The following is a 25,930-nucleotide window of genomic DNA, read 5'->3' as shown; positions in this document are numbered from 1 at the left end:
CAAGGGCAGGGACCATGTGGGTTTAATTCATTAATGTGCAGGGCTGCAGCCAGCGCATGCAGTGCTTTTGAGGGAATTAGAAAAAGGAATCCTTTGGGGCAGATGCTGCTCTCTGGGCCCACAGCTTGGCAAACGGTCCCCGGGCTGGATCTCAGCCCTACTTGCCCCTGGGCTGTGTGCCCTTGTGCCAGGAACAGCCTGCCCTGGTGTTCAGTGCTTAGCACAGGCTGGCACCGGGGAAGTGCTCACACAATGTATTGAGTAAATAGATGATTAGATGTGGTGGTTGAGAGAGAGAGAGAGAGAGAGAGAGAGAGAGAGAGAGAGGAGCCAGGTATTTCTGGGAGCCCTTGAGGGCTTCTCACTTATGCTCAGAAAGAAGTCCTCTGCTTCCAGGTGCTGATTAACATGGAATTTTCCAAGTGCTTCATTTCATGTATTTCTGCAAGGGCCAGAGATGGTGTCCACTAGTCCCAAGGCTGCGACAGGAATGGACTAGTCTGATGACCTGATACGATAGACCCCCATTTGCACAAGGCCTGGGGAGCCTCCATGAAGCATTCTGCCTAGGGAAGGTGGGACCCTGACTTGGTAACAAAGCCTTGAGCAACCCAAGGAAATGCTACCCAAGTGCCAACCCAAGGAAGAGCAGAGAAGAACATTCTAGGCAGGGGGATAAAGATCCAAAAGCCCTGCTGCTGCACAGAGGTGGCTCGGCCCTTTGGAGAGCTGAGCGTTGGCCAGTGTGGCTGGGCCTCCAGGCATCGCTTCATAGGACCTTCTTTCATTTGGTGGCCTTTGGGATTTCCTGCAACTGTCCTCTTCTTTGTGAACTTTATGAAGTTCGCATAACTGAGACATACCTACCGCACCTCTGTATCTGCCAACGCATACTCCAGCTCTTTGCACGGGGCCAGCCCAGAGGTTGATAGAGTCATCCCACGAAACAGATTAAGAATCCCAGCTCCGGCCGGGCGCGGTGGCTCACGCCTGTAATCCCAGCACTTTGGGAGGCCGAGGCGGGCGGATCACGAGGTCAGGAGATCGAGACCACGGTGAAACCCCGTCTCTACTAAAAATACAAAAAATTAGCCGGGCGCAGTGGCGGGCGCCTGTAGTCCCAGCTACTCGGGAGGCTGAGGCAGGAGAATGGCGTGAACCCGGAAGGCGGAGCTTGCAGCGAGCGGAGATCGCGCCACAGCACTCCCGCCTGGGCGACAGAACGAGACTCCGTCTCAAAAAAAAAAAAAAAAAAAAAAAAAGAATCCCAGCTCCACTGTGTATTTCCTGTGGACTTTGCCAATTCCTCTGAGCCTCCTCTATCTGTAGAAAGGAAATAGGAATATCCACCTTTCCAATTTGTTGGGAAGTTTCTGCCCTCAGTAATAAAGGCAGATAGTGTAAGAACAAAAGAAAGACAATTTAAAACTCCAGGAAAAACATAAAGATGAAGAAAGAGGGAAATATACAAGCACCTTCTTTGACTCAGCAATGAAAAATACGTAGATGGTCACAGTAATCCTTAAGGTCTTTCTTTTTCTGTGCTGGTGGGAGGCTTCAATACAACGCTGAACAAAAAGTAGCAATAGTAGGCAAGTTTGCCTTGTTCCTGACTTTGCAGGAAATGATTCTAGTGTGCACCGTTAGGTATGACTGTTATAAGCAATTGTGGGAATGGCTGAATTCTCACAAAATCTCCGAACCTTTTCTCATTGCGAAGGTTTCAAGATATCTCCTTGTCTCCTTGAGTTTTCCTGCTTCACTCATTCTATGGCTCCACATTGCCTGTGGGATAAAGTTTGAGCCTTTTTTAAATTTTATTTTATTTTATTATTATTATACTTTAAGTTTTAGGGTACATGTGCACAATGTGCAGGTTAGTTGCATATGTATACATGTGCGGTGCTGGTGCTTTTTTTTTTTTTTAGATTGAGTCTCACTCTGTCGCCCAGGCAGGAGTGAGTTCAGTGGCGAAATCTCAGCTCACTACAACCTCCACCTCCCAGGTTCAAGCAATTTTTCTGACTCAGCCTCCCGAGTAGCTGGATTACAGGCGTGCGCCATTAAGCCCAGCTAATTTTTGTACTTTTGGTAGAGACAGGATTTCACCATGTTGGCCAGACTGGTCTCAAACTCCTGGTCTCAAGTGATCTGTCTGCCTCGGCCTTCCAAATTGCTGGGGTTACAGGCGTGAGCTACTGCGTCCAGCCAAGTTTGAGCCTCTTGAAAGACCAGTGTCCAGGCTCTCTCCCTCTTTCCCAACCCTGAGCCTTCCGGGTTTACCCATTTCTCCCATTCCAAACACCTGGACATTTCAGGTCCTATCCATGATGACAGCTTGGCCTCTGCCTTAGAATATCTGCTCCGTGCCTCCATGCCCACTGCCTTTGCTCACGCCCTTTCCTTTTTCTTTCTTTTTTATTTTGCTTTTTTTTTTTGAGACGGAGGCTGCTCTGTTGCCCAGGCTGGAGTGCAGTGGTGCGATCTCGGTTCACCGCAACCTCCGCCTCTCCGGTTCAAGCAATTCCCTTGCCTCAGCCTCCTGAGTAGCTGGAATTACAGGCGCGTGCCACCACCCCCAGCTATTTTTTTGTATTTTAGTAGAGACAGGGTTTCATCATGTTGGCCAGGATGGTCTCGATCTCCTGACCTCGTGAACCACCCGCCTTGGCCTCCCAAAGTGCTAGGATTACAGGCGTGAGCCACCGCGCCCGACTGCTCATGCCCTTTTCTTTGCCTGGGATCCCCTTCCTCTCAGTTACTCTGACTCACCTTCAAAGGCCAACTCATCTCTGCAAAGACACTTTCCCCTCACCCTTCTTAGCATTTGGTATAAGACAGTTCCGGACACAGGGCCCAACACCTTCTCTAGTCTTTAAGAATCTGTTTAAGCCAGGCATGGTGGCTCATGCCTGTAATCCCAACACTTTGGGAGGCTGAGGCAGGAAGATCACTTGAGCGGGGAGTTGAAGACCAGCATGGGCAAACTAGGGAGACCCCATCTCTACAAAAAATTAAAAAAAAAAAAATTAGCCCGGCATGGTGGCACACACCTGTGGTCCCAGCTACTCGGGTTGGGGGAATGTGGTGGGAGGATCGCTTGAGCCCAGAAGGTCCAGGCTGCTGTGAGCCGTGATCACGTCATTGCATTCCAGCCTGGGCAACAGAACAAGACCCTGTTTCAAAAGAGAGAGAGAGAGAAAAAAAAAAATCTGTTGGATAAATGTGTGAATGAACCCCTAAGTAAAACTCTGGGTCACCATAAGGAAAAAAATCCTATTCTTCCAACAAATCCAGACTGTGCAGCTGCCTCAGCCTCCAAACTTCCCACACATGTTCAAAAATTTTGTCTTTTGCCTTTCTCCTTCAACAACAGTTTGGCTGAAAATAAAATTCTTGAGTCACACTTTCTCTCCTTGATGACTTTGTAGGTATCTGTCTATTGTATGCTAATGCTGGATGTTGCTGTAAAGAAGCCAGAGGCCAGCCTGGGATTTTTAAGTAACTTGTTCCTTTATGTTTAGATTCTCAAAGGAATCTTTCTTAACTTTAAAATCTAATACTTTTTAAATAGCATATATATGTGTGTGTGTGTGTGTGCATGTGTGTGTGACAGAGTCTTGCTCTGTTGCCCAGGCTAGAGTGCAGTGGTGCAATCTCAGCTCACTGCAACCTTTGCTTCCTGGATTCAAGCAATTCTCGTGCCTCAGCCTCCGGAGGAGCTGGGATTACAGGCATGTGCCACCACGCCCAGCTAATTTTTTGTATTTTTAGTGGAGATGGGGTTCCTCCATGTTGGCCAGGATGGTCTTGAACTTCTGACCTCAGGTGATCCACCCACTTCGGCCTCCCAAAGTGCTGGGATTATAGGAATGAGCCACTGTGCCTGGCCAATAGAATATATTTTGATGTGGATCATTATATTATAGAATATTGTTTTGATACCATTATTTGAGTTTCCTTCTTCAGTGACTTTGACATGTGTATATGGTTTTTTGGGGTCATTGTATTTTTAGTAGAAATGGGGTTTCACCATGTTGGCCAGGCTGGTCTTGAACTCCTGACCTCAAGCGGTCTGCCCGCCTCAGCCTCCCAAAGTGCTGGGAGTGAGCCAGCACAGGCGTGAGCCTCCACACATGGTCCACAGTGCGTCTTTCATTTCATTTTCTTGAAAGCTCCCCATCTTTCCTGCCTCAGGGCTTTTTTTTTTTTTTTGAGACGGAGTTTCGCTCTTGTTGCCCAAGCTGGAGTGCAATGGCGCAATCTCCGCCTCCCGGGTTCAAGCGATTCTCCTGCCTCAGCCTCCCGAGTAGCTGGGATTACAGGCATGTGCCACCACTCCTGGCTAATTTTGTATTTTTAGTAGAGACGAGGTTTCTCCATGTTGGTCAGGCTGGTCTTAAACTCCCGACCTCAGGTGATCCGCCCGCCTCTGCCTCCCAAAGTACTGGGATTACAAGTGTGAGCCACTGTGCTCGGCCTATTTTATTGTTTTTAGAGACAGGGTCTCACATTTTCTCTCTTATCATTTAAACTTTAAAATTTTTTTCTCATTTAATTTTTCTTTCTTCATTTCTATCTTACGTGTTGCATCAGTGCGTTCTCTTTTATGTTACTTTTGGTTTGACTTCAAGGTTATGATGAGCTATGATTGTGCCACTGAACTTCAGCCTGGACAACAGAGTGAGCCTCTTTCTTCTGTTCTTCGCCTGGCTGACTCCTACTCACCCTCCAGATCTCAGCTGGAAAAGTCCACTCCCCAGGGAGACCTCCCTGACTCCCCTAAACTCAGCAACCTGGGATTCTGTACGTTTTTTCCTGGCGCACAGGGTCAGCACACATTTTCATCCAAGGATGGACAGTAGGGGCACTCTGTCAGCCCACAAGGCCTTGTTAGGATGATAGCACAATTTCTATTTGGCTTTCTGAAATACTGACAATAGTACTGGGGTCCCCATGACACGGGTAACTAGAGTTCCTGGGCACCTTCAAATGAAAGGAGAGTCTTGGTGAGAGGGGTGGAGGAAATGCCAGATGCCTCCTGTGGGCTTTAAATCCAATGAAGAGGGACAGAAAATTCAGCAGGGCTGTGTCCTGGGATTGTTTGGGCAAAACCATGAGTGTCGACCAGGAGCAGGGTGGGGTTCTGGTCCATGGAGCTCTCTGGAGGAACAGAGACTAAGCTGCCTTCCTGAGACAGCTTTGGTTTTTCTTTTAATTGTGTTTTAATTGCGCAAGTGACATTTAAACAGCACTAAAGGCAATGTTTAAAGAGAAATAAAACTATTGGATCACATCCATCTTACACATCTGATGAGTTGGAAAGAGCACCGAACATGGAGTCCAACACACCAGGGTTGGCACGCCTCTCTGCTAATTACTGCCTGCACCACCTCAGGCAGGTTTTCTTGCCCTTCTCTTTGCCTTAGCTGCCTTACCTGTAAAGGGGAATGACTCTTAGCTCACAGGGAGCTGGGGAGAACTGGAGGATTCAGTGAGATCGTATGTGTATAAGCCCTGGGCATGGAGTCAGGGCTATGGGGGCACTCAGTAAGGTTTCTCTCTTTTATCAAGGCAACTGTGTTCATTTTCTTATATTCTCTGCCAAGCTTCGATCAAGTCCAGATGAACATTTCGCACACGGTGATGATGCTTTAAGTTTAGTTCTGCAATCTGCTTGCAAACTTTCTATGTCATAAACACTCGTTTCAACATTTTCATAATTATTTTATGGTGGAACACCATGCCATTGAGCCAATATATCATTATTTATGTAACCATTCTTCTGCCATTGGACATTTCTCAGTTATGGATGGTTCTATATTTAATTCTGCATTCTATGATACTGTTGCTATCATTTGTAGCTCATTTGTGGAAGACTGAGTATTCTTCCATATTTTACTTACTATTTCTATTTAGTTACTTAAATTGCCTGCTCATGACCTTTGTACCCATCTGTCTTAGCAACTCAGATATTTTTTATTGATGTGTATAAAATCTTTACACCACGTAGCTATTAGCCATTTTCCATTTTCCCCACTCCCAGGTGACATTTTAGTTTTAGTTATTTTTCTATTATACACACCCTAAACGTTTTATCTTTCCATCTTTGCATTTGTGATTTCTTTGAGTTTATACAACAAATATTATGTGAACATCTGATCTGGATGGCAGGTGCATGAAGAGGTATGGGAGTAAAGGACACTCCAGTTCCTGACTCCAGAAGGCCTCAGTTAAGTTGGGAATACAAACTGGAAAACAATTACAATATTGCCCTGCTAAGTTCTAGAAGAGTAAAGAATTGCAACAGCAGCAGAGGTTGTTTGCACGCTCCCTCTCTCTCTGTACCGGGCCCCATTCTAAGAACTTGCATATACTATCTCATTTAAAACCACAACAATCCTGTGATTTAGCTACTATTTTTAGCCCCATTTTACAGACGAGGAGAATGATCCTCAGAATGGCCACACGACTTACCTAAGCACCAACAGCCAATAAGAGCTGAAGCCAGTATTCGAAATCAGGCAGTTGGACTTCAGAGCTTGCCTTCTTAACTACCATACAAAACTAGCTGTTAGGGCAAGGATGTGGTGGTGATGCCAACAGAGGTGATAGGCATGGAGGTGTACATCAAGGAAACCCTCCAGGAGGAGGTGAGTCAAAGCTGAGAATAGAAAGACAGAGACAACTTCACCATCAGGCAAGGGGGTGTGGAGGAACGGACATTCCATGAATAAGGAAGAGCTCTTCCAAAGGTTTGGAGACGTAGCCCCTTGAGAGATGGTAAGCTGGCCAGAAGCCTCAAAGTTGAGGTGGTTCTATTATTGTTTACGTTTCCTTTATCTGTTTCTTCATCACAGGCTCCATGTTAGGTGCTGGAGATACAGTGATGAACAAGATATTCAAGGTACCTGCCTACCTGGAGTTTACAGTCTAATTGAGGGACACAGGAAGGAAGCTGTACTGACCATTTATCTTTCACTGCTGCTCAACAATTTAAAAAATTCCTGTCTGTGAGACTCTGTCTCAAAAAATGAATAAATAAAATTAAAAGAAAGAATACATGTAAAATGCTTAGCACACAATAAACACACAAGTATTGGTTCCCTTTCCTTTCCTCTTGTTTTCTGGAGGATTTTTACTTATTGTGGAAAAGAAAGCAATCCTTTCAGCATTTCCTTTTGTGTGTGTGTGTGTGTGTGTGTGTGTGTGTGTGTGTGTGTGTGTGTTTTCTTTTCGTTTTTAGAGAGGTCTTGCTCTGTTGCCCAGACTGGAGTGCAGTGGCGTGATCATAGCTCACTGCAGCCTTGAATTCCTGGGTTCAAACGATCCTCCCCAGTAGCTGGGAATACAGGTTTTTAAACGTTTCTGATGCAGCAGGACAGCTTGCCTGAACTTACAGTTGATTGGCTGTCTATTGGTGAAGAACTACTTCTAATTAAATTCTCCAGATTTTTTCTTCTTTAACATAACTTGTTTTTAGCTTAAAATTTCCAACTTCTTTTGCATTCGAACTACTTACTAGGGACCCAAGAAAGCAATCAAGTGGAAGACGTTGGAGTGGGATTCCTGATATCTTGAGTTCCTCCTCAGAGCCAAGTGAGCCTCCCTTGCAGCTAGGGTGCAGGCATGTGACCTTGGTTCCTCCAATCATCCTTGCCCACCTGAGACGCCAACTGAGTGATGAGCTATGCATGGGAATAGCTGTGTGCAGGGCATCCTTTTTCTGCCAGCCTGGTGGCAGTTAAAGCAGTGTGGCCTGGAGTCAGTGACAGTGGTGGCAGGTCCTCCATGAGTCTGATTCTGCAATATGCTTCTTGGAGAGGCTCTTGAAAGCTGCATCCAGATCCTGTTTCTCTAACATCCCTAAATAAATTTTCCTTCTACGGAAACTAGCCAGAGTGGACTCTGTTGTCTACATGCAAGAATACTAATAAACACGCAAATAAACAAATACATATGGAGCTGAACCTTGAACAACACACGTTTGAATGGTGTGGTCCACTCTCATGCAGATTTTCTTCTGCCTCTGCCACCCCTGAGACAGCAGGACCAAGCCCTCCTCTTCCTCCTCTTCAGCCTACTCAGCATGAAGACGACAAGGTTGTGAAGACCTTTATGATGATCCATGATCTGTTTCCACGTAAGGAGTAGTAAATGTATTTTCTTGTCCTTATGATTTTCTTAATAACATTTTCTTTTCTCTAGCTTACTTTGTGGTATGAATACAGTATATAATATATATAAAACATACAAGATATGTGTTAATCAACTGTTCATGTTATTGGTAAGACTTCCAGTCCATAGTAGGCTGTTAGTAGTTAAGTTTTGGGGGAGTCAAAAGTTATTCACATACGTGGATTTTTGACTATGCAGGGGTCAGTGCCCCCATGTTATTCAAGGGGCACACACTGAGGAACTAACAGTTTGAGAGGTTAAGAGTGTGGCCTAGAGTCACCCAAAGCTATAGCCGGGACTGAAACCCAAGAGAATGAGAATCGAGAGCCTGGACTCTTATAGGATGCTGTCAGATCAACGCCCCCACCTGGTGACAGCAGTCCTATATGGGTTACTCGTATCCTCAGGTGATCATCCTGCTCAGCGTGGGCAAAACATGAATTTCTTCTCGCTTGTTAGGTGCAGAGGTTGCAGGTGGCAGGGAAGAGAGCCTTTGCATGTAGTGCCTTGGCCCAGGGCTCTTGAGCTCTTGCAGAAATCTCCCTTGAGGACTGCAATGTGATGGAATTGTGTATGTATTTATTTAATTCATTTAGGGAGAGTTTTGCTCTGTTGCCCAGGCTGGAGTGCAGTGGCATGATCTTGGCTCACTGCAACCTCTGCCTCCTGGATTCAAGCAATTCTCATGCCTCAGCCACCAAGCATCTGGAATTACAAGTGTGCACCACCATGCCCGGCTAAGTTTGTATTTTTATTTTTATTTATTTATTTATTGAGACGGAGTTTTGCTCTTGTTGCCCAGGCTGGAGTGCAGTGGCACCATCTCGGCTCACTGCAACCTCCGCCTCCTGGGTTCAAGCTATTCTCCTGCCTCAGCCTCCCAAGTAGCTGGGATTACAGGCATGTGCCACCACACCAAGCTAATTTTGTATTTTTTAGTGGAGATGGGGTTTCTCCGTGTTGGCCAGGCTAGTCTTGAACTCCCGACCTCGCCTCAGCCTCCCAAAGTGCTGGGATTACAGGCGTGAGCCACCGCACCTGGCCAATTTTTGTATTTTTAGTAGAGACAGGGTTTCTATGTTGGCCAGACTGGTCTCGAACTCCTAACCTCAAGTGATCTGCCCACCTCGGCCTCCCAAAACGCTGGGATTACAGGCATGAGCCACCATGTTCCTTTGTCCTGCCAAAGGAAGAGTTTTAAAAATGAACTGAGGGTTCAGGTCAAGAAAGATTTAAAATAACAATGGTAGGCCAGATGCAGTGGCTCACAGCTATAATCCCAGAGCTGGGACTGTGTAAACCGGTGCCTGGCCAGGATTGTGTATTTTTATTAATGTTATTGTCATGAAGTTCTGTATCCATCTCAGGGTCAGAAATGAGGGAGGGACAGGGGTTTGGAGCCTGATAGACCAGTCCCAGGAAGGGAAGGAAGAAACAACCCATGAGTGTGGCCCTGAGGTCATGGACCATCCAGCCCCTGCATGTCTGCTTGAAGAAGGCTGGCTCAGTGGCCCTGGAAGTCAGATTTATGCCCTTTGACATCACTGCTAAGATTCCCTGCAGAAGGGAAAGTGGGAGCTCCTGCCCACAATTCAGGATCTGCTTTAATTAAACCAGTGTCTTGTCCTAGGTAACAAAACAAGTTGCCAAGAGTGCTGAGCTGATGGCAGGGGAAGTCAATCGCACAGAAGTTGTTTACCCACTGGCAGGACCAGCCTGTTAGCAACTCAAGATGTGAAGGGTTTTTCTGTTGATGCATTTCTTTGCATTTTCCAAGGCTGATGGATCAATAGTTACAAACAGCTAAAATAAATGTGTCTCCCCATACCCTCAGACTGGAAGATGGACTATTAGATAACTCAGGTGCCCGTCAGGCGTTACCGCTGTCAGCAGCTGCTATCCATGACCTTGCTGCATCCTCACAACAGCTTTGTAAGTCAGGGCTGCTGTGTCTGATTCAGAGAGATGGAAACTGAGGCTCAGAGAGGGGACACCATTACCCTGAGTCCCAGAGCTGATTGGTCATCAACCACAAGGTCTCTGCCAGTATCGGTTGTTTGCTTTTATATATATATATATATATATATATATATATATATATATATATACACACACACACATATGTAATATATATATGTAATATATGTGTGATATATATATGTAATATATATAAAAAAATCAATGTTGTTAGCATTGTCAGTTTCCCTGATGATCCTCTGAGAGGAAACACTGCTTGCCCAAGGTCACACAGCCACTGAATGGCAGGGCTGGGGTGAGAAGCCAGCGCGTTTGATCGCAGAGCCTCTGGTCTGAGCTTGCCAGCCGAGCAGTCTGGCCTCTGCACGCCTGCCCTGGAAATCAATGAGAGAAAGGCCAGAGGCATCAAGATTTGTGTTTCTCTGAGAGGCCCCTGAAGGGAGAGGCAGGCTCCTTCCCTATTCACAGCACCAAAGGTGTCAGTTCCCAGCTCTGAAGGACCTACTCCCCAAGGCTGCCGCTCTATTTTTAACCTTGAATCCATCAATAAACGGAGCCTGGCAGAGCAGTCTGCCTGATATTAAGAAGAGAGGAAGGGACCGTTTATTAAGCACTTTCTGAGTGCTGGGCATTATGTGAAATGCTTGACATGGATTATGTACTTAAATCTCCACAGCATTCGTATAAAATAACTACTGTTATCACAATTTTATAAATAAGGAAAAGGAAGCTCAAAGAGGTTAGGGGACTTGCTAAGGCCAAGCAGCTGAGGTGCAGAGCCACAGTCCCAATGCAGATCACACTGAAGTGTGATGTCCAAGTCCAAGTCCATGACCTTTCTTCCTAACCCCCTGGCTCTAATGCAGCATGACTCTGACCATTGGGCAGCCTGTTTGGAGGTGGGGTGGGATGGAGCTGAGAGTCAGCAAATAATCGCTCGAAGTACTAGGGAGGTGCAGGCAGGCAGGAAGGAATCACTCGCTCCAGCCGGTTGGTTGGGAAAGGTTTCATGGAGACTGAAACCCAGACCTTGGATTCCCCAGATGGAGGAAGGAAGGGCCTGGCAGGCAAAGGATATTAGGTACTTTTCATAAGTTATCCCCTGACATCAACAGTGGTGATGAATCAGTGTGAGCTATTTGGAGGCTATTACTGACTCTCTTTTACAGATGACTAAAAGTGAGGCTTTGAGGGATCAACTCACTGCCTAGGGTCACCGGGATTGGAATCAGAGTCTGGAGGATTCCAGAGACCATGACACTACCCTGGCCAATGAGAGGGTGTGTGATAAAAACAGTTGCAGGCAAATGGACATTTATCTAAAGTGTGGGAGTGAAGAAGATAAGGTAGGTTTCAAAGGCAATAGAGAGGCAGGTCTTTTTGTTTTGTTTTGTCCTTTAAGTACGTTTGTTCATATACACTGAAGTTGGCAGCTTTGGCACTAAAGTGATAAAGCTTTTTGGAGGCTGGAACTGGAGGACAGACAGACTCAACCAGGGGAAAGGGCATTGTTTGTGCGTGATAGTGGCTGGGCAGAGGGAAGGGAAGGGCAAGGTTCAAAGTTCAATGTGTCCAGCAGCTCTGAGATCCCCAGGACCAGAGGCCCAGCCAGGGCTCAGGGTCCGGAGTAGCAAGTGGCAGGGGTGAGTGAGGGAGGGGTGAATTGGAGTCTCAACGGCATTTGATGTTTGTCATCAGGGGAGTGGAAAGTCTTCAAGGAGGTAGGAGATATATCCCACCCCACAATAATGGGGGTACAACAAAATGTTAAAGAGACCCAGAGCCCCCAACAGCCAAAACTTCTGGGGGCTAAAAGAGCCTCCAACAGCCAAAACTGGAATAGTTCGAGCAACAAACCAAATAAAGTAGCAATGGATTACAACCCAAAGTATAAAATCAATACCCGTGAGTCCAGAGCAATATAAATGACTGAACAAATGATATAAATAAATGAATGAGAAGAGACAAATCTCCCATACAGATTCCAAATAATTTATGTAGATAGTCCACCCTCAAGGAGGTGGCACATGAGCCCCACTGCTTAAACGTGGGCTGTGCATCTGTGCATAATGACTTCCTTCCTAAGGGTAAGTATGGAAGGGAGCATGGACAGGAGAAGAGTCATCTTCTCAGTGAAGAAACCTGACAAACCCTAGCCGGGCCAGGTGACCCAGGTCGCCATTGGCAGTATAAAGCATGTTGATCCAAGTGTGTCCCTCAGCAGCCTGGGTCAGGCTGCCAGCAGCACCTGGCGGCCTCAGAAAAGGGCCACTTTTCATAAGCACAAGCACATGCACCTGCAGCAGTCAGCGCTCCGGTTTCCTCCTGGCTGTGTCGGTTCACATGCCCTCGGGACAAGGATCAGGAGCCTTGGAGCATCTGGCTGTGTCCATAGCAGCTAGCAGCTCAGAGGCACAGGAAATCCAGCCACCTTGGCTGCAGCCCAGGACTTAGAGGTGCAACCAGGTTGAGTGGTGACTGCATAGAGCACTGTCGGAGGCACAAACAATGACCAACACACTTGCCAGTGACCCACAGCTAGTTAGCAGTGTCCCGGGGCAGTAGGCATGACCTTCGGTGCAGAAGAGCAAGGGCCTTGGGAGGAGGCCCCAAGGGGCACGGGCACCTGGCAGCTTCAGAGGGTCCTGGTGCTGGTGGCCCTGGGGGGACAGCGGTGTCCATCTCTAGGCAGGAACTGAGCCTCAGGACATGGAGCTGCAAGCCCTGTAACACTGAGCCTCTTGCTTGAGGCCCTGAGGATCTGCTCTGGTTTTCCAGTTCATAAGATAGACAACCATGAACACGTCCTTTAGCAAATCAGAGAACCTGGGAGGCGGGGTGACAAAGTGAGCTGCGGCATGTTGGGCTGGGTCAGTGGAGCTGTGGACAGCAGTGGTGACTGCTGGCTGAGCGGCCCCACTGCCTTCTGCTGAAGGGCCTGGAAGGGCCTGACGTGCACAGTGCAAAGCAATGGTGCCTGCTGCCTGCTGGCCGAGACTAGGCGGGCACAGGATGGGCAGGTTAGGGAGTGCCCCGGGCTAGCGTGATTTGCAGAAACTGCTCTGCCTCCAGAATTCACCTCCTAGCTGCTCAGTGTGGTCCAGATCCGCCCCTGCTTCCCTCCTTCCCACAGCTCATAAAGCCAGGTTGAGGGATGTGCACAAAGGCATCCATGGAAAATGAAATTTTGCCCTCCCCACCCTTCCCCAGCAGCTTGAGAAGCCAGTTCCCAAAAATCAGTGCATCTCAGGAAGGCGAGACTGAGAGCTCCCTCAGCTGAATCCATGATGGATCCTTCTGGGAGCCAGAGGGAGCCAGTGAAGCCCCCAGCCTCCTGCGTAACGACGGAAGGGAGTCCTGCCAGACGACAGCTGCCTGGGGCTGCAGGAAGGTGCCCTAACCCTGGGAACCTCCTGGGAAAAGCAGAGTGAGGCTGAGTCCATACCCTAGATGGCTGCTGAGTTGGGGAGGCAAGGCTGACACCCAGATTTCTGGCTGGGAGAACACAGTGGAAGGATCCCAGGACCTGAGATGGGGACGAAGGAGGAGGAGCAGCTGGGGTAGGACCTGGGCACTGGCCACACGACATAAGCAGGCATGGCTGGAAGTGGAGGTGGCTCCTCTTGGGCAGGACAGGACCCGGCGCATTTCTGCCCTGACTTCACTTCTGTCCTGCTGGACCTCAGCCAGGGAGGCCCAGCCCCTACCCTCATCAATGGCAATTTCCCTGCTTCGGCAGCAGCACCTTGGCCTCCTCCGTCATCACCCTCATCTCTCCCCAACTTATAGGATCCCCTTTGTTCTCCCTCTCTAGAAACCTGCTCTCACCTGGCCTCCCTGAGACTCACGGGATTCCGAAGCCTGCAGCCCACTCAGCCAAGGGCCAGTCCTGCAGAACCTCCCAGCTTCCAGATCTGGACTCGCTTCAGCCACAGACTCTTGGAAGAAGGGAGAGAGAACTAACTACCAAGTGTTAAGTGCCTTCCGGTCTAGGTGCTCCTCCATCCTCAGCCTCTCTGACACCTCATAACTGGCAGCCCTGGGATTTGAATCTGCATATGTCTGGCTGCAAAGTCAATGCTCTTTCCTCGAGAGGACTGTGATGCCCCCATTACTCTTTTTTGGGGGAGTGGGGGGACACGGTTTTGCTACGTCACCCAGGCTGGCGTGCAATGGTGCGATCTTAGCTCACTGCAACCTCTGCCTCCCGGGTTCAAGCAATTCTCCTGCCTCAGCCTGCCGAGTAGCTGGCATTACAGGTGTGCGCCACTATGCTCGGCTAATTTTTGTATTTTTAGTAGAGACAGGGTTTCACCATTTTGGCCAGGCTGGTCTCGAACTCCTGACCTCATGATCCACCCACCTCGACCTCCCAAAGTGCTGGGATTACAGGCATGAGCCACCTCGCCCGGTCCCCATTGCTCTTAACACGGAGTCTGCCCCTTGCTTCTGCCTCTCCATCACCCTCTCCTCCCTGGCTCCTCCTTATTTCACTATAAACTCAGTTCTTCCGTTTCTAGACATGCCCTCCACCTGACCTTGCAATCTTCTCCTTCCTTTGGCCACCAGGCTTCTTACCCGGCTCTCTTCTGTTGCATCCCTGGTGTCCCGCCCCTTATCCCCCTGAGGTTTCATCAACCTCCCTCCCCTGCCAACCACTCCCCCAGAGTCACCAGTAACCCGGGGCCTCATGATTAGGTCCTTTCTTAGTCTTTATATTTCCAGGCCCCCCTACAACAACTGACACTCTCAACGGGTAAACTAGCTCTTGAAAAAAATAAGATTTCTTTCTACTTCTGACTTTAAAAGAAACACACACATACACACAAATGCATATATATGAAAGATAGAGAACGAAAGAGAGAGAAAACCACCAAGAGCCAGAAAACTGGTCATTAAGAAGCCTGATGGGCTGGGCATGGTGGCTCATGCCTGTAATCCCAGCACTTTGGGAGGCTGAGGCAGGAGGATCACTTGAGCCCAGAAGTTCGGGACCAGGCTAGGCAACATGGTGAGACCTCATCTCTACAAATAATTTTTAAAGATTAGCCAGGCCTGGTGGTGCACGCCACCAGTAGTAAACCTGTAGTCCCAGATACTTGGGAGGCTGAGGTGGGAGAATTGCTTGAGTCCAGAAGGTCGAGGCTACAGTGAGCTGTGATCGTGCCACTGCACTCCAGCCTGGGCAACAGAGCAAGAAGACCCCATGTCAAAAAAAAAAAAAAAAAAAAAAAAAAGGCCAGCATGGTGGCTCACACCTCTAATCCCAGCACTTTGGGAGGCTGAGGCTAGTGGATCACCTGAGGTCAGGAGTTTGAGACCAGCCTGGCCAACATGGTGAAACCCTGCCTCTACTAAAAATACAAAAATTAGCCCTCATGTGGTGGTGGGCACCTGTAATCCCAGCTACTCAGGAGGCTGAGGCAGGAGAATCGCTTGAACCCAGAAGGCGGAGGTTGCAGTGAGCAGAGATCGCACCACTGCACTCCAGCCTGGGTGACAGAGCAAGACTACATCTACAAAAAAAAAAAAAAAAAAAAGAAGAAGAAGAAGAAGAAGCCTGACAGTACCAGGTGTCAGAGAGGATGTGGGTTCACTGGGTTTCTCAAAGGCTGCAGATGGGAGTGTAAATTGGCACAAGCACTCAGGAAGACAGTTTGGCGTGAGTCTGTAAAGTGGGACATTCACTTATCCTCTCTGGCAGCTGCCTCTGGTGCCAGTATTGCCTCTCCTCCACTCACCTCTAATTTGCGCCCCGGCTGCAGTTCCCTTGACCTCATGACTCACCCCACGCTAACAAGTCCCACCTCAGCACAAGTTATACGTCTTTTTGTTTTCAGCCCAAGCCCAAGCACAGCCTAGAGGTGCAGGGAAGATAACATGCCAGGAGCAGCCCTTGACAGATGGGGCTCAGGAGCTTGCAGATAAAAATGTCCCTGTCATCCATTCTCTGGGCCCACAGTTCCAAAAATCAAGTTCTCCAGCAGTGACCTTGATCTCTTCCCCATCTCACTCTGCCACCTTACTCCTGCTTCCTGGGCTTACCCCACAAATAAACAACCAACAACAGACGCAGGTAGCAGCTTAGTCTCTGTCTCACGCTCTGCTCTAGGGAAACCCAAACTAAGACAACTATGACCTAGCAATTTCCCTCCTTACTTCATATACAAGAGAAACTCTTACCACATACACTAGGAAACACATGCTAGAATGTTCCTGTCAGCACAAAACCTGGAAATAATCCAGAGAACCACTGAGAGGAGAAGAGACACATACATTTTGGAATAACATACAATGAAATATTACACAGGAGCTGGGCAAATGCAACAATATAGATGAAACTTAGCGATATAATTTTGAGTGGTAAAAGGAAATCCTGGCCGGGTGGTGGCTCATGCCTGTAATCCCAGTACTTTGGGAGGCCAAGGCGGGCCGATCACCTGAGGTCAGGAGTTGGAGACCAGCCTGGCTAACATGGTGAAACCCTGTCTCTATTAAAAGTACAAAAAAAAAAAAATTAGCCTGGTATGGTGGCACATGCCTATAATCCCAGCTACTCAGGAGGCCGAGGCAGGAGAATCGCTTGAACCTGGGAGGCAGAGGCTGCAGTGAGCCGAGATCACGCCTCTGCACTCCAGCCTGGGCGACAGAGTGAGACTCTGTCTCAAAAAAAAAGAAAAGGAAAAAAAGTAAATCCCAACATATCACATTAAAAAATACATATAATTTGGGGAAACAGATGTGGGTGTGATAAAACTACATAAAAGAGAAAGCAAAAGAACACAACACAGGATTCATATTAGGGGTTGCGGTGGGTAGATAAAAGTGAGGAGAATCATATCAGTCTGTGTAAGTTCTTATCAGTATTTTAGTTTTCGTCTTGGGCAGTGGTTCCATGGATATTTTTATATTATTAAAATAGGCACCCTAATAGATAAATTCATAAATGATTCAAAGAAGGCCTTTTATGGACCGATGATGAGAATGTGTACTATATACCCAATTAGTATGACAAACCTCATTCTATGCAATTGAAGTCCAATTAAAAAGTATAATAAACAGGGCTGGGTGCAGTGGCATGCCTGTAGTCTTAACTATTCAGGAGGCTGAGATAGGAGGATCACTTGAGCCCAGGAATTGGAGGCTGCAGTGAGCTATGATTGCACTACTGTACTCCAGTCTGAGTGACAGAGCAAGACCCTGTCTCTTAAAAAAGTAAAATAAGATTATTATTTAAAAACGGAAAAATACATAAAATCACAATGAAGAAATAAAAGTTACCATCCAGAGATAATCCCTAGCTATCAACATTTAATGGATATTTTATACATTGTTCCTGTGAATAAATGTCTGTATGTGTTATCTGTATAATGGAGGTGATACTATATACAATTTTTTGAAAACGTTACAGAAATTTCAAGTCCTATATATTTATTGTAGAGTAATGAAAAAACACAAGAGGCCGGGTATGGTGGCTCACGCCTGTAATCCCGGCACTTTGGGAGGCCAAGGTGGGCAGATCATGAGGTCAGGAGATTGAGACCATCCTGGCCAACATGGTGAAACCCTGTCTCTACTAAAAATACAAAAAAATTAGCCAGGCGTGGTGGCGGATGCCTGTAGTCCCAGATACTTGGGAGGCTGAAGCAGGAGAATGGCGTGAACCCGGGAGGCGGGACTTGCAGTGAGCCGAGATCACGCCACTGCACTCCAGCCTGGGCGACAGAGCAAGACTCCGTCTCAAAAAAAAAAAAAAAGAAAAGAAAAGAAAAAAAAAAAAAGAAAATGCAAGAGGAGAAAAGAAGCAATTGAGAAAGAGCCACTGTCAACATTCTGGTGGATTTCCTTCCATTCTCTTCCTTTGCTTAACAGCACATTATGACACTTCCTCCACATCATTCAATATTCTTTGAAAACACTACCTCTCTCTACCTTAAAATTCTTTTTTTTTTTTTTTTTTTGAGATGGAGTCTCGTTCTGTTGCCCAGGCTGGAGTGCAGTGGCACAATCTCAGCTCACTGCAACCTCCACCTCCTGGGTTCAAGCGATTCTCTTGCCTCAACCTCCCGACAAGCTGGGATTACAGATGCCCGGCAACACGCCCAGCTAATTTTTGTATTTTTAGTAGAGACGGGGTTTTGCCATGTTGGCCAGGCTGGTCTCGAACTCCTGACTTCAAATGATCTGCCCGCCTCAGCCTCCCAAAGTGTTGGGATTATAGGCGTGAGCCACTGTCTCCAGCCTTTAAAATTCTTAAAGTAGTAATTTGGCAGTGGAGAAGTCTGGAAAGCACTTTCTACCAAGCGGTGGAGGTTAATATCACCTGTGGCTACCACGCACCCCCTCCTCTGATGTGAGAAGGCATTTTCCCTGTGCGGCATTCTTTCCAAAACCCCTGAGACCAGTTTAATCTGGAGAAAAGCATCAGGGAAATCCAAATTAAGAAACACTCTACAAAATACCTGACGATTACTCCTCAAAACTGTCAAGGTCATGAAAAACAAGGAATGACTGAGAAACTGTCACAGATCAGAGGAGACTAAGGGCATGGTAGCTAATGCAACGTGGTAGCCCGCACGGGAGCCTGGAACAGACAGAGGACCTGAAGGGGAAAACTGGTGGAATCCACATAAAGTTGGAGTTTAGTTAATAGTAATGTACCAATGTTGGTTTCTTAGTTTACGCAGAGACCACAGTAATAGAAGATGTTAACAATGACAGAAAATAGGTGAGGGGTAGATGGAACTTCTTATATTTTTGTAACTTTTTTGTAAGTCTAAAATTATTCCAAAATAAATAATTTATCAGGGAAAAAAAATCCACAAACCCCCAAACAGTCTTTCCTTGGCTTCCTCGAAGTCGTGCCATTGTGTTCTTCCTCCCTCTCTGACTGCCTCTGGGTGTGTTTTCATATTAAACGACAGGCACCACCTTAGGCCCTGTGAATGAGCTGGCCAACAAGGCAGACCCAGTCTGGTTCTCGCCCTTGTGGGAATACAGTCTGGCGGAGGGACTTTGGATGGAGCTGGACTTGAGGTTGGACATAGTTCCGCTTATCTCCAGCGGAGCAATCCCTAGCAAGTCATGGATTTGAAGCCCACCTTTCCTCCTCTGTAAAAAATGAATAATGAGCAGGGTGCAGTGGCTCATACCTGAATTCCCAGCACTTTGAGAGACTGAGGCAGGAGGATCACTTGAGCCCAGGAGGTCACTTGAGCCCAAGAGTTAGAGGCTGCAGTGAGCTGTAATCATGCCACTGCACTTAAGCTAGGTGACACAGCATGACCCTGTCTCTGAAAAACAAAAAAAAAACAAAAAACCCCACAAAACTATATTAGCTAAATACTACCACAAGGAAGCAGTTACCAATATTAATATCAGAAAAACTGAATTAAAGCAGAAGAACATTAATAGGAAGAAAAGGCACATTTGGCACTGATGAAAGTTATAATCTCCAAAAAAGATGTAAAAATTTATGAATTTGCATGCTCCTAAAAAAGTGTTTTTAAATATATATAAAGCAGGAACTTACAGAGGTAAAGGGAAAAAATTGACACGTTCGTAATAATTGTGTGAGATTTAAAACATTTTTTTTTTTGAGATGGAGTCTCGCTCTGTTGCCCAGGCTGGAGTGCAGTGGCACAACCTTGGTTCACTGTAACCTCTGCCTCCCGGGTTTAAGCGATTCTCCTGCCTCAGCCTCCCGAGTAGCTGGGATTACAGGTGCCTGCCACCATGCCCAGCTAATTTTTGTATTTTTAGTAGAGACAGGTTTTCGCCACATTAGCCAGGATGGTCTCGAACTCCTGACCTCAAGTGATCTGCCTGTCTTGGCCTACCAAAGTGCTGGGATTCCAGGCGTGAGCCACTGTGCCCAGCCGATTTTTTAAAATTTTATTTAAAAGTTTTTTTTAGAGACAGGGCCTCACTCTGTTACCCAGGTTGGAGTGCAGTGGTGCTATCATAGCTCACAGAAGCCTTGAACTCCTGGGCTCAAGCAATCCTCCACATCCTAGTATGCCTTCCTGTAGAGGATAGAAAGCCAAAACTCTTTCACAGATTCCCTTACAATGAGTGTTTCAGATGTGAATTATTTTCCAACACTTACTGCTATTGTGCAAGATCTGAAAAGCAGATGAGAGGCCAAGACCATTGTCCTTTTCCGTGGGCTGTTACTGCTTCCAAGCACAACTGTGGAGCTATCGAGTTTGCCCGCATCAATGTCTGGCCCCTAGTGTTGTGTATGTGGGCAGTAGAAGCAGCAGTGGCAGTGCCTGTATTAGACCTTTGTATTGTTACCCTAGCAGTGTATTTATAAATACAGTTCTAATGTGTGTTCTAGGCCCAGCCTCGGGTCCACTCCTATAGCCTGCCAGTGACTTTTTTTTTTTTTTTTTCATTTTTTAGATAGGGTCTGGCTCTGTCACCCAGGCTGGAGTTCAGTGGTGCGATCTCGGCTCTCTACAACCTCTGCCTCCTGGGCTCAAGCCATCCTCCTACCTCAGCCTTCTAAGTAGCTGGGACTACAGGGATGCGCCACCACATCCGGCTAATTTTTGTACTTTTTGTAGAGATGGGGTTTTGCCATGTTGCCTGGGCTGGTTTTGAACTCCTCTAAGCTCAAGCAGTCCACCCGCCTCGGCCTCCCAAAGTGCTGGGATTACAGGCGTGAGCCACTGTGCCTGGCCTCCCAGTGACTTTTGAAACACCCAGTGCCCTGTATTAAACCTCATTGTGCTTAAAATATCTAGAGTAGTTTTTGTTTTCTGCATTGAACACTGATTTCTGTAGATTCAAGTTACTATAGATTACTATGGATTTGAAAAACATGAGTAAAAAGCTTGAGGTAAGAAAAGCTTAAACTGTTGGCCAGGTGCCGTGGCTCACACCTGTAATCCTAGCACTTTGGGAGGCCGAGGTGAGTGGATCATGAGGTCAGGAGTTCGAGACCAGCCTGGCCAACACAGTGAAACCCCCGTCTCTACTAAAAATACAACAATTAGCCGGGCACGGTGGCGGGTGCCTGTAATGCCAGCTACTCGGGAGGCTGAGGCAGGAGAATTGCTTGAACTGGGAGGTGGAGGTTGCAGTGAGCCGAGATTGCACCACTGTACTCCAGCCTGGGTGACAGAGCAAGACTCTATCTCAAAAAAAAGAAAAAAAGAAAAGAAAAAGAAAAAAAAAGGAAAAGCTTAAACTATTAAACTGAGAATTTCAATCATTTTTCAAGCATACAATGAATATTAACAATGACAGTATATCAGATCACAAAGGAAATCTTAAAAACTTAAAAAAAAAAGCAACATTATGTAGACAATTTTAACTGATCACAATGCAGTAAAAGTATATTTTCATTTTCTTTTCAATAGAGAGACGGTCTCGCTATGTTGCCTAGGCTGGTCTCAAACTCCTGAGCTCAAGGGATCCTCCAGCCTCAGCCACCAGAGTAGCTGGGATTATACACGTTCATCATCATGCCTGGCTGAAACATTTATTTATGTATGATTTATTTATTTTCAGTTAGAGATGGGGGTCTCACTATGTTGACCAGGCTGGTCTTGAACTCCTGGCCTCAAGTGATCCTCCTATCTTGGCTTCCCAAAGTGCTGGGATTACAAGCATGAGCCACCATGTCTGGCCTGAAACTACATTTATTTTTAATAATAACAGGTAGCCACCGGGTGTGATGGCTTATGCTTGTAATCCCAGTGCTTTGGGAGGCTGAGGCAGGAGGATTGCTTGAGCCCTGGAATTCAAGACCAGCCTGGGCAACATAGAGAGACTTCATCTTCACAAAAAATAGAAATGTTAGGCACTAATACTTTGTTTCCCTAGACACCCTGTCTCTAGGCTGGGAATACACGCATGCACCACCATGTCTGGCTAATTTTTGTATTTTTTATAGAGACAAGGTCTCACTGTGTTGTCTGGCTTGTCTCAAACTCCTGGGTGCAAGTGATCCTCCCACCTTGGCCTCCCAAAGTGTTGGGAGTGGGTCACTTTAGGCCACAAGTTTGAGACCAGCCTGGGCAACATAGTGAGACTCTATCTCTCCAAAATAATTTAAACTAATTTTAAAAATTAGCTTGAGGCCAATTAGTAGGCATTTAAGGCTGCAGTGAGCTATGATCACACCACTGCACTTCGGCCTGGGCAACAGAGCAAGACCCTGTTTCTTAAAAAAAAAATGAAAGAACAAGAGTAAACCAAAGGAAATAGAAGAAAGTAAATAAGAAAGGTAAAACCAGAAGATGGTGAAATAGAAAATATAATAACAACATCATAAAAAACAGAGATAAAAAAGCAAAAATCTGATTTACCAAAAAACCCTAGGATGACTGAGAGAGAGCAAGCACAAATAAATAGTATTAGGAATTAAAAGGGGACTGTAATCAATACAATAGAGATTTTTGAATCATGAGAATACTATTAATATCTTTGCAACAGGGTCTCACTCTGTCACTTAGGCTGGAGTGCAGTGGCACAATCTTGGCTCACTGCAGCCTCCATCTCCTGGGCTCAAACCATCCTCCCACCTTAGCCTCCCAATAACTGGGACTACAGGGAGTATGGGACATGCCACCACTCCTGGATAATTTTGTATTTTTTGTAGAGACAGGGCTTCACCATGTTGTCCAGACTGGCTCGAATTCCTGGGCTCAGGTGATCTGCCGCCCAGGCCTCTCGAAGTGTTGGGATTACAGGCGTGAGTCACCGCCTCCAGCATGGTGGCTCATGTCTGCAATCCCAGCACTTTGGGAAGCCGAGGTGGGAGGATTGCTTGAGTCCAGGAGTTTGAGACCAGCCTGAGCAACATAGCAAGATGCCGTTTCTACAAAAAACCAAAAATTTAGTCAGACATGGTGGTAGGCACCTGTAGTCCCAGCTACTCAGGAGGCTGAGGTGGGAGAATCATCTGAGCCCAGGTGATCATATCACTGCACTTCGGCCTGTACACAAAGCGAGACCTTATCTCAACAAAAAAAAAAGAAAGAAAAAAAAGAAAGAAAAAAGAAAACGCAATAAAAATATTAAAGAATAGAATAATTTAATTAAAATGTGCAATATTTTGATGAAGAAAAATCACAAAAATGAATTGAAGGCCTGGCAGAATGGAAATAAGGTACATTTATGGATGAGAAGACTCAGTATTATTCAATTTTATCCCTAATCTGTAAATTCGATGAAATTCTAATTTAAATCCCAGCACAATTTTTCAAGGATCTTGACAAAATGATTCTACGGTATACAGTTAGCTAAGACGATTATAAAAAATAGAAACCAAGTTGAGGGGGTGGAGCTTGCTCCCTAGATAGCAATATTTATCACAAAACCATAGAACTAAAACAATATTGATCAAGAATAGACAAATCGATCAATGGAAGAGAAAAGAAAGCCAATAAATAGGCCAGGTGTGGTGGTTCACGCACTTTGGGAGGCCGAGGCAGGTGGATCACCTGAGGTCAGGAGTTTGAGACCAGCCTGGCCAACATGGTGAAACCTCATCTCTACTAATAATACAAAAAATCAGCCGGGCATGGTGGTGGATACCTGTAATCCCAGCTACTTGGGAGGTTGAGGCAGGGGAATCGTTTGAACCCAGGAGGCGAAGGTTGCAGTGAACCAAGATCCTGCTACTGCACTCCAGCCTGGGCAATGAGAGAGAAACTCCATCTCAAAAAAAAAAAAAAAAAAAAAGGAAAGCCAAGAAATAAATTGCATTCTTTAATGGGAACCAGGTATATCGCAGAGGTGCTGTCATGAGTCAATGGAGCAAACAGCTAATGATGAGGCAAATAGCATTAGGCCAAAACCTGGGCAAAACCTTACTTTATTTTTTTTTTATGACAGAGACATTTTAGAATACCAGGAGAAAGGCTGGGCCCAGTGGCTCACACCTGTAATCTCAGCACCTTGAGAGGCCGATACGGGCAGATCACTTGAGGTCAGGATTTTGAGACCAGGCTGGCCAACATAGTGAAACCTCATCTCTACTTAAAACACAAAAATTAGCTGGGTGTGGTGGCGTGCGCCTGTAATCCCAGCTACTCCGGAGGCTGAGGCAGAAGAATCGCTTGAACCCGGGAGGTGGAGGTTGCAGTGAGTCGAGATCATGCCACTGCACTCCAGTCTGGGTGATAGAGTGAGACTGTCTCAAAAAAACAAAAAAATAAAAATAAAATAAATAAATAGAATACCAGGAGACAGAGAAACTGGCCAGAGACTGGCTGGCTTCTAAAACCAGTCCTTGCTAATCTTGAGCAAATTACTTAATCTGTCTTGGCCTATTTCCTCATCTGTCAAATAAGGATAATAACAGTTCTTACCTCACAGACTTGATGTAAGGATTAATATAGGTAAATTAATACAGGCAAATACAGGATTAATATAGGTAAAGCATTTAGACCAGTCCCTGGCTCAAAACAGCACTACGTAAGTGTTAGCCATTCTTTATCTCTATACCATGTGGAACTGACAACATCTCCACTCCCGTTTTCTCTGCCCAATGTGGGAGACTTCCATTATCCAAATGGACCAGAATGGCTTGGTTCACTGGTCTTAGGGAACCTGGTCAACTTTCTGCCATCATGACCAAGACATTCCTTAGAGGGAGGGCTTCTCATTTACAAAAACTATTTCCTTAGAGCAGTAATTTTGGTCATTGGTGACATCCAGTCTCTACTCTTACCTCATCTATGACTCTGACTGCCAGATCATGACAGTTTTCAATATGGATTACCCAATAGCTTGGTTTGTTTTTTGTAATAAACCTTGTTTTTTAGAATAGTTTTAGATCTACAGAAAAATCTGAAGATTAGTACAGGGAGTTCCTGTGTACTCCAGACTCGGTTTCCCTTGTTATTCATATTATGCTGTTTTTAAAATTCCACATTATATCATTGAGATACATTCATGTTGATATATAGATCTAATTTATTGAGTCTAACTGTGATTTAGTATTCCATTGGCCTGGAAGGTTCTCACAGTCTCACCTGGCACAGGTTTAGTGCCAGGGAATTCCATCTCCCTCGCAATCAGACTTATCAAATCTCTGGTTCTGGCCGGGTGCAGTGGCTCACGCCTGAAATCCCAGGCCAAGATGGGAGGATCGCTTGAGCTCAGGAGTTCGAGACCAGTCTGGGCCACATAGTGAGACCTCGTCTCCACCAAAAATAAAAAAAAAATTAGCTGGGCATGGCGGTGCATGCCTGTAGTACCAGCGACTCAGGAGGCTGAGAGGGGAATATCACTTGAGCCTGGGAGGTCAAAGCTGCAGTGAGCTATGATTACACTACCACAACTCAGCCTGAGCGACAGAGCCAGACCCTATCTCAAAAAAAAAAAAAAAAAAAAAAAAAGCCAAACACCACTGTTTCTGCAGTAAAAGTATTTACATAATCATAACATTATAAATGTCATTTGGCTTTCAGTGTTAAGAATCAATCTACAGGTAAACAACGGTAAACTGAATTATCTTTACCGAATAGAATGTAAATGCTATAAACCTCAGCGATACAAAAATAAAAGCTTAGTTCATGGATAACGGCAGAAGCAGGGAGGGGACATCAAGGGAAATTATCCATTTCACACAGAGAAGAGTCAAGAGATACAATATACAGAAGAAACAGACATTTAAGAATAGTATTCAAAGTGATAATAGAAACCAATAGTAAAATTTAAAATATAAATATAAAAAAGAGGGCCAGGCACGGTGGCTAACGCCTGTAATCCCAGCAATTTGGGAGGCTGAGGTGGGTGGAACACGAGGTCAGGA

At 46.1% G+C, this 25,930-nt stretch overlaps 4 annotated features.

The window, feature by feature from the left end:
• Window positions 4,758-4,941: a silencer, noted in NCBI's record as "fragment chr1:32303933-32304116 (GRCh37/hg19 assembly coordinates)". NCBI's record gives its function as "represses an EF-1alpha promoter that drives an FKBP-Casp9 reporter gene in an ReSE screen in K562 erythroleukemia cells {active_cell/tissue: K562}" and the evidence as "EXISTENCE:reporter gene assay evidence [ECO:0000049][PMID:32094911]".
• Window positions 8,471-8,540: a silencer, noted in NCBI's record as "silent region_579". NCBI's record gives its function as "represses an Ori minimal core promoter by ATAC-STARR-seq in GM12878 lymphoblastoid cells {active_cell/tissue: GM12878}" and the evidence as "EXISTENCE:reporter gene assay evidence [ECO:0000049][PMID:35858748]".
• Window positions 15,690-15,879: an enhancer, noted in NCBI's record as "active region_654". NCBI's record gives its function as "activates an Ori minimal core promoter by ATAC-STARR-seq in GM12878 lymphoblastoid cells {active_cell/tissue: GM12878}" and the evidence as "EXISTENCE:reporter gene assay evidence [ECO:0000049][PMID:35858748]".
• Window positions 15,970-16,069: an enhancer, noted in NCBI's record as "active region_653". NCBI's record gives its function as "activates an Ori minimal core promoter by ATAC-STARR-seq in GM12878 lymphoblastoid cells {active_cell/tissue: GM12878}" and the evidence as "EXISTENCE:reporter gene assay evidence [ECO:0000049][PMID:35858748]".

This window comes from Homo sapiens, chromosome 1 (assembly GCF_000001405.40).
Source record: "Homo sapiens chromosome 1, GRCh38.p14 Primary Assembly".
NCBI classification, from domain to species: Eukaryota; Metazoa; Chordata; class Mammalia; order Primates; family Hominidae; genus Homo; species Homo sapiens.
This window is presented reverse-complemented; position numbering and strand designations above follow the sequence as displayed.